Source organism: Homo sapiens, chromosome 9, assembly GCF_000001405.40.
Source record: "Homo sapiens chromosome 9, GRCh38.p14 Primary Assembly".
In the NCBI taxonomy this organism is placed as follows: Eukaryota; Metazoa; Chordata; class Mammalia; order Primates; family Hominidae; genus Homo; species Homo sapiens.
In genome coordinates, this window is record NC_000009.12 from 104,747,679 (window position 1) to 104,764,073 (window position 16,395).

The 16,395-nt window shown below is 37.2% G+C and overlaps 1 protein-coding gene across 2 annotated transcripts, besides 2 other annotated features; it reads left to right on the plus strand.

Annotated features, from left to right (window-relative positions):
• Nucleotides 5–12,442, plus strand: NIPSNAP3A (nipsnap homolog 3A). Of its 2 annotated transcripts, NM_015469.3 has the most exons (6): nt 5–174; nt 3,278–3,488; nt 5,228–5,386; nt 6,873–7,022; nt 11,407–11,493; nt 11,584–12,442. In NM_015469.3, exons 1-6 carry the CDS (start codon nt 115–117, stop codon nt 11,658–11,660), a joined length of 744 nt encoding a protein of 247 aa, NP_056284.1. In that variant the 5' UTR covers nt 5–114; the 3' UTR covers nt 11,661–12,442. The 2 variants fall into 2 exon arrangements, with proteins under 2 accessions (NP_056284.1, NP_001316499.1); NM_001329570.2 differs by lacking the exon at nt 6,873–7,022.
• Nucleotides 409–568: an enhancer, noted in NCBI's record as "active region_28729". NCBI's record gives its function as "activates an Ori minimal core promoter by ATAC-STARR-seq in GM12878 lymphoblastoid cells {active_cell/tissue: GM12878}" and the evidence as "EXISTENCE:reporter gene assay evidence [ECO:0000049][PMID:35858748]".
• Nucleotides 16,180–16,379: a silencer, noted in NCBI's record as "fragment chr9:107526139-107526338 (GRCh37/hg19 assembly coordinates)". NCBI's record gives its function as "represses an EF-1alpha promoter that drives an FKBP-Casp9 reporter gene in an ReSE screen in HepG2 liver carcinoma cells {active_cell/tissue: HepG2}" and the evidence as "EXISTENCE:reporter gene assay evidence [ECO:0000049][PMID:32094911]".

Sequence of the window (16,395 nt, forward strand, 5' to 3'; positions counted from 1 at the left end):
CCCCAGCCTGCGTCTGCCAATGATCCAGGAGCCGCTCCTTTCCACTCGGGAAACCTTCAGAGGAGTCTCAGAAAGGACACGGCTGGCTGCTTTTCTCAGCGCCGAAGCCGCGCCATGCTCGTCCTCAGAAGCGCCCTGACTCGGGCGCTGGCCTCACGGACGCTGGCGCCTCAGGTACCGGCCACGGGGGTACCCAAGCCTTCACCCGACGGGAGGGGAGGGGCGGGGCGGGGAGTGTTCCGGGTACGTGCGAGCAATGCGCATGCGCTCTCCGCCACGCGCGCCCAGACCTGGGGCCCCGGTGAGGTTCTAGCGTGAGCCCCGGAACCCCAAGACAGGGGTACCCGGAACGCGCGTGAGGAGGAGGCCGCTGCTAGGGGAATACCCCCAGCCGGGGTCGTCTCGCGGGCAGTGGTGGTCAGAAGGCTTTTCTAGCCTGGATGCCACACCCACCGGGACACTCCCATGGCGCCGGCTGTTTCGTTTTTGCTGCCCAGCTATGTCGCGGCTGCGGCCCAGCGAGCGCTCCCATGTTGTCACCTGGCGCTGTGGAGCCGCGGGTGGAGTCGTAGCTTTCCAAGCCACCGCCCTCTCTAGACATCAGGTTGAAGGAGGGAATTGTCAACCAGCCGCTTGCCACGGAACCGGCCTCCCCCTTTTAAATGAAGCACACAACTTCCGAGCATTTCGCGGAGACCCTTGAAGAGGAGGCCCAGGGTCCCGGTGGGGCTGGACCCTGCCCGCCACCCGCGCTTCGTGTGGTCGCTCCCCCAACCAGGCGGGACCGGAGCCTCCTATCAAACCGGACGATGACAGACAGACTCTTTTAACCTTAGATGAGAAATGGACAAAATGGAGCTTGTGATTCTGCCCTAACTTTCGGGAGTGGCCTATTCTGTGGCTTCAACCTAGAAATTTCTTTTCCTTTTGATGTTTAGGACTTTACTCCTTTCTGAAGGGGCAGGATGGGAAGGGGATTAACCTGTCCTAGAGACAGACTGAGGAGCACTAAAGAAGAGCAGCTCATGTCCATTCACCCCGGGTTAACAATGCAGTTTTTACCCTAATGATTCTCCAGTGGGGCAGGGCCAGGAATGACGTCCTTATGGCATGATTCCAAACTTTAAGTTTTTAGAAATGTCCATCAGTTGTTCTCTTTTAAGTGAAGTGGAGGTCGTTGCTGGTGGGAATGATCCCTAACTTGGAGATAAGGGAGGATGGACGACTCATGATTTCTGCCCTAGCAGCTAAAAGTCATCCCTGCAACAAAATTCTTAACTCCCATCCGGCTCCCCCACCATACCCGGCTCCCCTGCAGTCTTCCTTCTCTGGCACCACCTGTCCACATCTCTCTCCCTCTCTCACTGTAGGTTCCCTACTGTATATTAATACTGCCCAAAATTGTAAAAATGTGTACCTTTGATCAACTATTTTATCCTCCAAATACAAATTCCTCGAATCAACCTGAAATCCATTTGTCACAAATGCCCCATTGGCCTATCTCCTGATATATTTTATTATAATAATTTTGAAATTATGGATACTAGGCACTTGCTTCTTGACCAACATTGTTACTAGAGTTTGGTTTAAAAGCACAAAAAGAGTGTCCACAAAAGGCAGGGGCAGCTGCAGCTGTTTTTGTTGGTAGGCTTAGTCATTTGAGCAATAAGAATATAAGTCACACACGAATAGAATTAACTCTAGATAATTATCATTAAGCCTTATCATACACAGTTACATAATTTTGTATTTTGTAAACAAAAATATGTCGGAGCAAAAGCCTACTGCTTTCAGACAGACATACTGGCTAGTCAGTATAAGCCCTAATTTGTCCATAGCTTTGTAGGTATCAAAACTGTCTTCACAGATTATTCTGGTGTAATCAACTTAAGGAAATGGCACATGCTATTCAAACTTAAGTAAGATGGATTTATAAGAATATCACGAATGCCTGTGTGTATACCATGAGTGCATATATATATGTGTGTGTGCGTATGTGTGTGTGTATGTGTATACATATATACACATAGATACCTACATAGAGGATAATCTTAGGCGAGGTATTTCTTACAGAAAGTTCAACCAGAACACAAATTAGAAATTTACAGTGCGTGTATGACTATTACAAAAGGAATTAATGGTTCTTAAGTGATATTTTCATCAATGTGGTATAAGTGGATTCATTAAATGTTGTTCACATTGCATCTGTAATTAGAAACTAATAAGAAAATTTTGACTCTGAATTTTCTTTTCTCAGCATTCATGTTCTACCATTATATTACAATGCAATTGGATAGGTCAGAGCTTTTTATTGCATTAGTTACATTCCAGTCCTAATTTTGGTCAGTGGTTTACTTCATTGAATTAGGAAATACTTTGACCTGAACTGTAATTTCCATTTTTTTCAAGAACCTAAAAGAGTTTTCTTCTAGTAAACATTTTTTTCATTATGCCTGCCAAAAGTTACGTGCGTAGTTAATAAAGTTCTTTGATGTGCATAACTGTAACACGTATGCTCTTGACTAAAGATGCAATATTGGCTAATAGGAAAACTTTTGTAAATTTGTTAGAATCCTAATTGTAGTTCTTGGATAAAGAAGTATCATTAAGATCTCAGCGCCTTCTTATGAGCAATTTCTGAAAAAGTGGCTAAAGGTGACAGTGAACCCCCACTAGGAAACAGTAACTACACACTCAGCATATTTAAGAGTAGTTGTCTTTATTGACACCTCTATGTAAACAAATGTATATGTGAAGCAGGAGAATAGGGTCTTGAGGCAGGGAACCTAAGGACTTCCTAGAACTAAATCAAACCCTTCAGCTATGACAAGAAATACCCTCTTCATTTACATAGGGTGTACACAGAGTAAATGACTTTGCAACTTTACTTCATCCTCTTCATTTATATACGGCTTACACCACATAGCCAATGGGACACCTCTAGAGGGTACTGAAACCCTAGAAAATTCTGTAACCAGGGCCCTTGAGCCACTTGCTCAGGCCCACTCCTACCCTGTGGAGTGTGCTTTCATTTTCAATAGATCTCTGCTTTTGTTACTTCATTCTTTCCTTGCTTTGTGCATTTTGTCCAGTTCTTTGTTCAAACACCAAGAACCTGGACACCCTCCATCAGTAACATATTGAGAATTGACAACAGAAGTACAAACATGAGTAATGAGTCTATGAGTGTCCCTTGTACCAGATTCAGATTAGGTTTTAACACAATATAATGAATCCTGTCTTCTCAAGATATTTACATTTGTCTTATCTTCTTCAGATGTGCTCATCTTTTGCTACGGGACCCAGACAATACGATGGAATATTCTATGAATTTCGTTCTTATTACCTTAAGCCCTCAAAGATGAATGAGTTCCTGGAAAATTTTGAGAAAAACGCTCATCTTCGGACAGCTCACTCTGAATTGGTTGGATACTGGAGTGTAGAATTTGGAGGCAGAATGAATACAGTGTTTCATATTTGGAAGTATGGTAAAGAGTCATCCAATTTTGGCTTTCAGTATAGATTTTCATTTTTCAGTATAGATTTTCATTCTGTTAAATGTAACATAAAACTTAGTTCTTGGATGTATATTATTTTAGATACATACAGGTTAACTAAGACTTTTGAAAAGCAATACCAAAAAAATAAATTCAGTTCTTATTCTTCCCAGTGGTACACCTCTAACCCCTTGCTTAAACATTACATTATATTACATTATAAATTGGAAGACATGGCATCTCATATATCAAGCGATAAAATTGTGAACTAGACTTTAAACCTCAGAAAAATATTAAAATGGTTTGCTGTAAAGATAGTTCATGAAAAATTTAAAGCAGCAATTGTAAAAGTCCAAGTGGATTAAGATCACAAAAGGAAAGGAGAAGTATCTTTTCTCTTTTTGAAGCTAGGGGGCTGGATATCAGTATTTTAGCAGAAATAATTCAACCATTTAAGGGACTTCACAATATGGAGGTTTATAGGGGATGATGGTTAACTTTCAATCCTCACTGAACTCTGAGATTTAATAATTCTGTTATGTTTAGAGACCACATTTGTTTCATATCTGTACCCCCAGAGTTTTGAGGAATTCACTGTCATACTACTCTAGGGAGGTAAAAGAAAAGGAATGAAAGAGAGTTCTTCCCGTGTTGAAACTAACCTACGCCTGGTTTAGTAGAGGAAGGAGAATAAGTTACAAGAATGCCCAGAATGCTTGTTACTCCAGTGTCTACATCAGGACTTGATGATACCTAAAGAATTTTTAATAATTTCATTTAGTGTTTGGTTTAGGGTTTTTCCCTGTTAATAGAAAAAGCCCCATTAAAATACATTTTATGCTTTAGATGTGGTACAAGTTGTATCACAGCCCATTAAAAAAACTAAGTTCTGATATACCTCACTTAAGTTGTAAGATAGGTATTCTTCCTTATCCCAATGTAAACCATATGAACCTCTCTTGCCATTAGTCTTATGAGGTCCTAATGGTAATTATAGTACTAGGCCCATATGTTGGCAAATGTATATAACTGTTTGGGTAACTTAAATAGAAGAGAAATAAGTGCTGGGGAGAAAGAATGGATGACAATAAGAGAATCAGCATTATTTCTTTGAAATCTGTTTGTTCAAAGGAGAAGAGGCTTAAAAAGTACGGTTTAACTTCACTCATGTTAAATTTGATTCAAGATGTTTTAACTTCACTCATGTTAAATTTGATTCAGGGTGTATCTGAACTTGACTACCCACCACCACCAAAGAAAAACAGTCTTTCTCTAAACTAGCACTATAAGTTAAATGCCTCAATCAAGTAAGAATAGTTCACATATACTGAGTATTAACTAGTGCCAACCGCTATATTCTAAACTCTTTTCATGTGTTAATTTAATCCTCATACAACCCTGGAGGTAGATGTCTTATTATCTCAATTTCACAGAAAGTGAGGCACAGAAAGATTCAATAACTTACCTAATTCACAAAACTGCCTACTATATGGTTGAGCCTATAAAGCCTATTATGTGGCATTACAGTTAGTTTGCATTTCTACTGCCCTTTTTGTCCTTGAGCAACTTCAGGGCAGATGGTCACATCTGTTTACGTTGGTGTCTCCAAAGGCCTAACACAAGGTTCTTATATGGCATCAATGACCATTGCTGATGTGAATGAAACCCAGAAAAGTACAGGTGATTTAAAATTGAATTTTTTATTTTTCTTAATTCTTTTCTTCCCACAGATAATTTTGCTCATCGAACTGAAGTTCGGAAAGCCTTGGCCAAAGATAAGGAATGGCAAGAACAATTCCTCATTCCAAATTTGGCTCTCATTGATAAACAAGAGAGTGAGATTACTTATCTGGTACCATGGTGCAAATTAGAAAAACCTCCAAAAGAAGGTAAGTCCTTCCTTCTTAGTCACTGAGTTTTGATGAATAAAATACTAAAGAACTTAAGTGATCAAAACTGAAGTTCCTTTGGAAAAAAATAAAATTAATTCTTTGTTTTATATAGAAACATACAGTGATTGTTGTGGTAAAAATAAATGGGAGCTCTTACCCCATCCTTTAAAAAAATGAGCATAAAATAATGAGATATTTTTCAAATTGAGACCTTGCAGATTTGTAAAGCTTAACTGTGTTATAGAGAAAGCTGACATGGTCAGTAGAGGTTGAGAATTTGTGCATTGGGAGCAGAGAACGTGTTGATAGGTAAGGGATAGCATAAGAAGTTTTGCCATAATTTTAAAATAATATGATCTTTAAAATGTAAAAGTATTTCCATAAATTATAACTAATCTTAAATCATTAAATACAGCTTTGCTTATAAAACTGAGTATTTGGGGGAAACAGATTAAGTGAAACTGCCAAGCTATATTACTTTAATCTAACTTTTGTGTCTTCTTTCTTGTTTCTCAGTTTGAAAGTAATTGCTTAAGATTTGTCTTCTTGCTGATTTCACTTCTTGCTGACTTAAAGAAACTATTACCTCAATCCAGTTTTAAATAAAGGTCAGATTAGAAAAGCATAAACTTATTTAAATGTTATTTTACTTCCCCCATTATTCCCAACTTTGTAGTGTATTTAGGTTACAAAAAATTTACAAAGTCTTCCTTGGATCTTTACCTACTTAGGTGTCCCCTCAGCTCTCAGCACTATCTAAATAAAATAGTTCACTTCTCTGACAGTGTCAAATCTTGGTTCTCCTCCTCTGTGTACATCACTGCTTGGAAATTTTTACATGCTTTTCCTACTTGTCCCAGAGTTTCTTTCTCTCCACCAGCCCTATACTTCTGTCCAAAGTGTACAATACTTTTCAAGTATTTACCTGGATATTTAGGAAAAATAAAACCATCTCTTTAGGTTTGTCTTTTTTCCTCCAAAATTCAAAGATATCACTTCAGGTCCACTCTTTGCTTTGCTGTTCCTGTTAAAAATGGAAACTTATAGGGAGAAATTATATGAAGAAAAACATAGTGGAAATTGGAAAGAATGAAAATATAGATTGGAAAATTCTTCTTTTATTCTTTTATTTTCTAAAAGCATAGACTTTTGCAGCTCAAAATTCTATATCATTATACATTCTCAACAGTTTTTTAACAAATGTTATAGATTAAAAATATTTCAGATAATAGTTATAATAGCTTCCAGTTCTTTTTCTTTGTCATCTGTATGATTAAGCATAACAACTCACTCTTAAACATGGGCAAGGACTTTCTAAGCATAAAAGCAGAGAGTGCAAATATAATAAACATGTCTACATAATATGTATGCATGTCTGATCCTCCAAATCTGTGTGTGTAGATAGTGAAAGACTATTCACTGAGAAACGTGATTGGATATTGCTTGAATGTTTTCTGAAAAATTCTTTTTCTCCCTATTCCAGGAGTCTATGAACTGGCCACTTTTCAGATGAAACCTGGTGGGCCAGCTCTGTGGGGTGATGCATTTAAAAGGGCAGTTCATGCTCATGTCAATCTAGGCTACACAAAACTAGTTGGAGTGTTCCACACAGAGTACGGAGCACTCAACAGAGGTACAATTGTCCATTTCTTCTTATATGAAATTGTAATATATATTGTGACCTAAGTTCCTTGGGTCAGGTTCTTTCTCATTATAGAGTATGTTTTATTATTTATTGCCAAATGTTTAGTTTTTTGTAATTTTTAAAATTGAGAAAATCTGTTTTACATCTTATTTATTTAGAATGTTAACTTATGAAACCTTCAAATGCTGAATAGCTGTTTTCCCTGATACATCAAAATGATTAAATTTTTTAAACTGAAGGAACCTCGGCTGGGCACGGTAGCTCAGGCCTGTAATCCCAGCACTTTTGGAGGCTGAGGGGGTGGATCACCTGAGGTCAGGAGTTCGAGACCAGCCTGGCAAACATGGTGAAACCCCGTCTCTAGTAAAAATAGAACAAATTAGCCAGGCATGGTGGTGGGGGCCTGTAATCCCAGCTATTCTGGAGGCTGAGGCAGGAGAATCACTTGAATCCAGGAAGCGGAGGTTGCAATGAGCCAAAATCGTGCCATCGCACTCCAGCCTGGGTGACAAGAGCAAAACTCCATCTCAAAAAAAAAAAAATGAAGGAACCTCAAGAAATAGTCTGTTACTTTCATCATTTCTTTTTCCTCTGAATGTACTTTTATTGATTTTTTAAAAATAATATTATTTGGGGTAGGGAGATTATCTCTAAGCAAAAAAGTAATATATGTTTTGTATAAATATGAAAACCCCCCTCATAAAAATTTACCCATTTTCCACCAGTTTTATATATATCTATATAGGGAGATATAGTAAATATGTATATATATTGAGGTAAATTTATATATGGATATAAATTTATTTAATAAAACACATACTTGGGGTATTTAACTTGTAATGTTGAAAAACATTTCAATCAGAATTTCAAGATTTTTTGTGGCAAATTCAGAAAAACATTTGTAAAGTTTATCTGAAAGGATAAAAGAGCTGATGAGGTAGCTCATACCTGTAATTCCAGCGCTTTTGGGAGGCTGAGGCTGGTGGATTGCTTAAGCCCAGGAGTTCACGACTAGCCTGGGCAACACAGCTTGTCTCTACAAAAAAAATTTTAAGAATTAGTTGGGCATGGTGGCAAACACCTGTAGTCCTAGCTACTTGGGAGGCTGAGGTGGGAGGATTGCTTGAGCCAGGAGTTCAAGGCTACAGTAAGCTATGATTGCACCACTGCACTCCAACCCCTGAACGACATAGTGAGACCCTGTCTCTTAAAAAAAAAAAGTAACGAAGAAAGGATAAATGTCTAAGAATAGCTAACAAATATTTGAAAGACTCATCATAATATCCTGTTGCCTTTCTATTATCTCTTTATGTCCAATGGACATCTCAAACCTAATATACCCATCTTTATGCAGAAATTCAACTTCTTGTAATAATCTATCATAAGAAAATAGAATATATAAAAACAGATGTATATTCAGGTTGGAAAATACATGGAGGAGAAACTGTTATGAAAATTATTAGATGCCTATCTCACACCATATGCGAAAATAAAGTCAAGCTGGATTGTATATTTTAATGAAAAAAATTTAATTCATAAAATTGGTAAAACAAAATGTAGATGAATTTATTTAATAATGTGGATTGGGACTATATTTGTAAGCCAAAAGCAAATGAAGAAACTATGAAGAAAAAAAAATCAACTTATGATTTTATTATACAAAGGCTCAAACTATCTGGATGCCTGAAAATCACCATAAATGAAATTCAAAAGCAAAAATAAAAATAAAAATTTATGCAAAAGTAGACATGCACATGGCTACTAAATATATATTAAAGAAAATGCATATTAAAACAATAATGAGATGCCATTTCTTTACCTTATAAAAGGTATACTTACATGGATATAGTATTAGGTCAGGAAAAAATAAGTACTCAGATACTGTGTAGGGTTCATATTAGCTTAATCTTCCCCCAAAATTTGACAATAAAAATAAAAGCCTTATTTTTATTGTTTTTGCCAGTATTACTTCTAGAAAATATGCCTGGGTGTGTATGTGTATAGGTGTGCTAAATTATACAGAAAAGAAATTTGAAAGTATATAACATACATAGTAGTCATATTTCAGTGAGATAAATGGTTAAGTCTCTATGTTAATATTCTTTTTTTTTTTTTTTTTTTGAGATGGAGCCTCGCTCTGTGGAGTGCAGGTACGATCTCAGCTCCCTGCAACCTCCGCCTCCTTGGTTCAGGCGGTTCTCCTGCCTCAGCCTCCCAAGTAGCTGGGATTACAGCTGTGTGCCACCATGCCCAGCTAATTTTTGTATTTTTAGTAGAGACAGGATTTCACCAGGCTGGTCTCAAACTCCTGACCACAGGTGATCCGCCCGCCTCGGCCTCCCAAAGTGGTGGGATAAGAGGCCTGAGCCACTACACCTAGCCTCTACCTTAATTTTCTATACTGCACATATTAAGTTTTATTTTTTTAAAAACTACAGAAAATGTGTGTTCATACACTTTTTAATCTTAAATTCATTCTCAGTGTTAGGAGAATTGGTAATCAGTACATCATTTCTGGAGGACAGTGTATACTATATACACTATATGTAAGTACATATATATAAGACATGCTCTTTGGTTCTGTCAACTTAAATTCTACTTTATATTAAGGAAATAATCAGATTCAGACTGCCTGGGTTTGAATCCCAGGTACACTACTTACTTTTTGACTTTGGGTAAGTAAACCTCACCATACCTTAGTTTTTTCATCTATAAAATGATAGATTATTATGAGGACCTAGATTATTATGAGGATTAAATGAGTTAATACATTAAAATGCTTAAAACTAGGCCTGACACATAGTTATCATTCAATAAATGTCAGTAGTTGTCATCGAAAGTATTATTATAAACACATAGTTGTGCTCAAATGAAGTTTATGTTAATATTGTTTACATTAAAGAAACATTGGAAATGTAGTATGACCTTCTTTATGTAATACATACGTAATACAGAAATCGATATACATGTACGTCATATCGTGTATTTACATAAGCATAAGCAAATATGCTTATATATGTTTATTTGTATACATATACAACTATATATAAAAATACAGGCCAGGCGTGGTGGTTCATGCCTGTAATCCCAACACTTTGGGATGCCAAGGCAGTAGGATTGCTTGAGGCTAGGAGTTCGAGACCAGCCTGGGCAACAAAGTGGGAACCTGTCTCTACAAAAATAAAAATAAAATTAAAATTAAAAAATAAAAATACATATATACACAAATATAGAAAGAGATACACCAAATATAAAAGAGATACACCAAAAATAAAATGATTAGTTTGTTTTTAATCTGCATTTTCCTATACATCTAACATGTATATATTACAATTATAAAAACTTCATAAGCAATTTTGTACAAGAACAACATTTATTCCAGTATTTTATAGAATACTGAAATATTGGAAATAGTCTAAATAGTCAACAATAAGGGGTTGACATAATAAGTTGCTGTATCTGTAAGGAGGAATTTATATAACCATTAAAAATTAATATTGCCATAGAAAATACTGTTTTTAAAAACTTGTTACTAAGCTAAATCTGTTATTATAATATACAATAAGACCCTGATTTGGTTTTACTCATATTTTCTAAAGGAAGTACAATAAATTTCCATAGAGGTTTTCTCTATACTGTTAACATTATACCACTTTCAATTTTCTTCTTTGTATAATGTAAAATTTTAATAATAAGCACAATTTGCTCATAATTTTGCTTTTTTAAAAATCAAGGGAAAATATAGTAGGAAATCATAAAATTTGGGTCTTGTCTTGATTGTGCCTCTAGCTGTTTTACTTCAGTACTTCCGTTTTCCAGCCTTCTATTTCTTCATCTATAAAACCAATTTGATTAATTTATCAATTTCTCTAGCAAGTCTCTGACCCCTCTGAAATCTTATCAGTAACATATTTAGTTTTACCTTTTTGATATCACTATTTCGATTTAAAGAATAGGATGGTTTTGGCCAAGCGCGGTGGCTCACGCCTGTAATCTCAGCACTTTGGGAGGCTAAGGTGGGCGGATCACCTGAGGTCAGGAGTTCGAGACCAGCCTGCCCAACATGGCAAAACCCCATCTCTACTAAAAATACAAAAAAAAAAAAAAATTAGCCGGACGTGGTGGTGGGCGCCTGTAATTCCAGCTACTCAGGAGGCTGAGGCAGGAGAATCGCTTGAACCCAGGAGGCAGATGTTGCAGTGAGCCGAGATCGTGCCACTGCACTCCAGCCTAGGTGACAAGAGTGAAACTCTTGTTTCAAAAAAAAAAAAAAAAAAAAAAAAAGAATAGGATGGGTTTGATTCATTTTTCTGTTATTTCTTATTTGTTAAGGCCATATTTTTTAGAAGCTACTTGTGGTTTATTTCTGCAGTTCATGTTCTTTGGTGGAATGAGAGTGCAGATAGTCGTGCAGCTGGGAGACATAAGTCCCATGAGGATCCCAGAGTTGTGGCAGCTGGTAAGCTGTTTGACTAGGCATGAATTATTTTTAGAACAAATGTGTTTCAGTCAGTAACTCTATATGCCTTTCTATGAAATGTTTTTCCAGTTCGGGAAAGTGTCAACTACCTAGTATCTCAGCAGAATATGCTTCTGATTCCTACATCGTTTTCACCACTGAAATAGTTTTCTACTGAAATACAAAACATTTCATTAACTGCTATAGGATCTGTCTGCTAATGGTGCTTAAATTCTCCCAAGAGGTTCTCACTTTTATTTGAAGGAGGTGTTAAGTTAATTTGCTATGTTTCTTGCATTATGAAGGCTACATCTGTGCTTTGTAAGTACCACTTCAAAAAATAGTTCTGTTTACTTTCTGCATGGTATTTCAGTGTCTGTCATACATTAAAAATACTTGTCACTGTTTTAAGATCTTGACTCTTCATTTGTTTCAGAATAGCTCTTCTACTGTATTCTGACAACTCTTTGCTTTATAGCATTTTGTTGTATTCAAATGATAATGGTAGCATTTCCATGCTTGTGACAGCATTTTTAAGTTATTAATATATTTTATCAACCTTTCCATCATGTCTGTTTTCCTGGTTTTTTTTGGTTGTTTTTTGACCAGTAAAATTTATTTTGTAATACCAAATAGGATTTAAGAAAATTAACGTATTTCTTTACTATGGAAAACCACATTGTCATTTGTGACATCATCTATATTAAATATGGTTTTCACATTAGTTATTTGTCACTTACTTGGAAAATGATGCTGTTAGGTCCTGGTATTAAAAATCTAGAAAAGACTTGTTGGTTTATGTGCTGAAATGTCTTTATTTATAATTAATTTTAACTACTATTTACTTCATTTCGGATCCTGTTTAACAAAGATACTTGAGACATCCATTTGTTTTAATGAAATCTGTATGGATATGGAAATGCTTGCCCTAATAAAAGCCTACATATACCTTCTGGTTCTTTTTGTTGAGTTTTATATATTTATCTTTTCTGAAGCTATTGCTGTATTGCTATAAGGTAATGAGACAATACCAATTTACCGTCTTTACTGTAAATATTAAGTTACCTCAAGAAAATTGTATCCCACTAACCCCAGAATCAGAGTTTCTTTAGTACTGTCACAGATGTGGTAGTGTTTTCCTACAAACAACTTTAATTTTTAATTGAGTGCTTCCTATTAAAGTAGATTTGGTACTTCCAAGACTATGAAATCTATATTTACAGCTATGTTATTTTTACATTTCTATGTTATTTTATATTTTTATTTTACACTGCTATTACATATAGCAAAGATAGTAAATTATGAATTAGCCATCTGAGGGAAATTGGAAAAGCAGAAAGTATAGTAACCCCTCATTTATCTAGCTCCCAGGGATTCAAAGGACAGATGAGTTTCCTACTAAGGCAAAGAAGACCCAACACTGGAGGTAAAAACTTATCACGGAAGTTAGAGGCATTGGCTCTGAGTTTTGTCTAAGAGTCTTCCATCTCAATGTTTATTTGGAAAGTTTTCACTCAGGAAATTTAAGCATCTAGAGTTTACATGTACAACTGCTGTCCTCCTACCCAGTTGGGCCAGCACTGGATACACCTCTCCTGCTTTTGCATGAGCCTGACCTTTAAAAAAAAAAAAAAACATGCAAGAACATCATCAAGTAGATTGTTCCCTTTGCCCACTTCTTGTAATTCCCACCATCCTTCAGCTAATACTTATTTGTTATGAGAGGTGTAAAAATGCATCTTCACACTCATCAGATCAGATGGGCAATAATAAGAAATTGGTCAGGAAAACCTCATACACTGCTATTAAGAATATACATTTATAGAACAGTTTGGCACGATTTAATAAAGATGAATATATACATAACTTATGACCCAGCAATTCCATTCCTAATTATATACTCTAGAGTAGTGGTTTGTAACCTCTAGTACACAAATCCTGAAGGATAGAATTCAGAGTCTGATAACTTGGATAGGTAAAAGTTCCATCTTTATTGGCACCAACTTCTAAGCATTTCCTTTGTTTGTGAAGGTAGGCAACAAACCACAATATTATTAGCAGGACCTGCAACTTTTTAGTCAGTAAAAATCACAGATACTGTCAAATTCTATTTATAGTTGTTGCAAATACAGAAAATTTATTTTACCTTCATCACTACTTCAAAATTATTATACCTCTTACACCTACCATTAGATATTGTTATTTAATATCTTATAAAGAATAGGTCTATTTCTTTATCAAGAATTTGCTTTTAGCAGTCCTAAGCAAAAAGAACAAAGCTAGAGGCATCACACTACCAGCCTTCAAAATATACTATAAGCTATAGTAACCAAAACAACATGGTACTGGGATAGAAACAGAAACAGACCAATGGAACAGAATATATAACCCAGAAATTAATCCATACATCTACAGCCAACTGGTTTTTGACAAAGGTGCCAAGAACATACACTGGGGAAAAGACAGTCTCTTCAATAAATAGTGCCAGGAAAACTGGATATCAATATGCAGAAGAGTGAAACTAGACCCCCACCTCTCACTCTATACAAAAATTCAGTTCAATGGGTCAAAGAGCTAAGTGTAAGACCTGAAACTAAAAGTACTAGAAGAAAATATAAGGGAAATGCTTCCGGACATTGTCTGGGAAAAAGTTTTATGAATAAGATTTCAAAAGCACAGACAACAAAAGCAAAAATAGATTATGTCAAACTAAAAAGCTTCTGCACAGCAAATGAAAAAATCAACAGAGTGAAAAAACCACCTATAGAATGGGAAAAAATAATTGCAAACTATTCATCTGACAGGGATTCATATCCAGAATATACAAGAAACTCAAACATCTCACCAGCAATAAAAACCAAACAAATCAATTTAAGAATGGGCAAATGATCTGAACAGACATTTCTCCAAAGGAGACATACAAATAGCTCACAAATACATGAAAAATGTTCAACATCACTCATCATCAGGGAAGTGAGGTATTATCTCACCCCAGTTAGGCTATTATCAAAAAGTCAAAAAACAAAGCTGATGAGGATGCAGAGAAAAGGAAAATCGTATACACTGTTGGGAATGTAAACTCTTAGAACTACTATGGAGAACACTATGGAGTTTCCTCAAGAAACTACAAATAACCCACTACTGAGCATTATCCAAAGGAAAAGAAATCAGTATATCAGAAAGACATCTTCCCTCCCCCATGTTTATTGCAGCACTGTTCACAATAGCCAAGATACAGAATCAGCCTAGGTGTCCAGCAAGATTAATGGATAAAGAAAGTATGTTATATATACACAATGGAATACTATTCAGCAGTAAAAAGGAATGAAATCCTGTCCTTCACAGCAACATGGCTGGAACTGGTGGATATTATGTTAAGTGAAATATGCCAACAAGAGAAAGTTGCACACCACATGTTCTCATTAATGTATAAGCTTTAAAAAAAGTTGATTTCAGAAATAAAAAGTATAACAGGATTCTAGAGGATGGGAAAGATTAGGAGGAAGACAAGGATGGGAGAGATTTGTTAAACAAAATTATAGCTAGATAGGAGGAATAAGTTCTAGTGCTCTATACCACTTCAGGATAACTATAGTTAATAATATATAGTTTCAAATTGCTAGGAGGATATTGAATGTTCTCAACACAAATGATAAGCCCCCGGGGGAGTGGCTTCTGTGAGACCTAAATCCTCATCTGCCACAGAAGGAAGGCAACACATACTCTCCATAACTGAAAATGCAAGAAATAGCAGAAAATGACTATTATTTAAAAATACGGGCCAGGCGCAGTGGCTCGTGCCTGTAATCCCAGCACTTAGGGAGGCTGAGCCGAGAGGATCACCTGAGGTCAGGAGTTCAAGACCAGCCTGCCCAACATGGTGAAACGCCGTCTCTACTAAAAATAGAAAAATTAGCCAGGTGTCGTGGCGTGCGCCTGTAATTCCAGCTACTCAGGAGGCTGAGGCAGGAGAATCTCTTGAAACCGGGAGGCGGAGGTTGCAGTGAGCCAAGATCATGCCACTGCACCCCAGCCTGAGCGACAGAGCAAGACTCTGTCTCAAAAAAATAAAAAACATACGGAAACAGGTATTAGAAGAACAGCTTAAAATGTTGAAGGTGGTTAGTCTGGGGACCAGTACTCTGGGACTGGGAGGACTAGACCAGAGGTCGGCTGTTTTGCTCTTAAGGCTTACAGAACGATCTAGTTTCAAACTATCTATGTTTAACTTCGACTTTTTCCTATCAGGCTCGGTGCTGCTATTCCACTGAGCTCATGGAAAATTAAATCTTTATTAGGAGCCTTCCAAGATCACAGTGGGGTGGCAATGGGGACAGATAATGCAGAAAAGCGAAGGCTCACTGGTCTACAAATACACGTCTATCACAACCTGTAAAAGTTAACCCTGTCCCAGCCTGGCCAATATGGTGAAACTCCGTCTCTACTAAAAAATACAAAAATTAGCGGGGCGTGGTGGCGGGCGCCTGTAGTCCCAGCTACTGGGGAGGCTGAAGCAGGAGAATGGCGTGAACCCGGGAGGCGGAGCTTGCAGTGAGGCGACATCGCGCCAGTGCACTCCAGCCTGGGCGACAGAGCAAGACTACGTCTCAAACAAAGAAACAAGTTAACCCTGTCAACATCTCGACTTTAAATGCAAAGCACTGCACATGCACACGCTGAACACCTCCCCTTCCTTCTCCAGGGGCAACACAAGCACAACCGCCGCACATTTACGAATCTACACAACTGCGCATCGGAGCGAATGAGGTCAGGGCCCAGAAAGGTGGGGCAGGAACGATCCCAGCCTTCAGCTAATTCTGTCACCTCTAACGTCTGGGGCAAGAACGTTTCAGGAAACCAAGGGGGACCGAGGCTCAGCGCCGAAGAGAAAGACGCCAACTG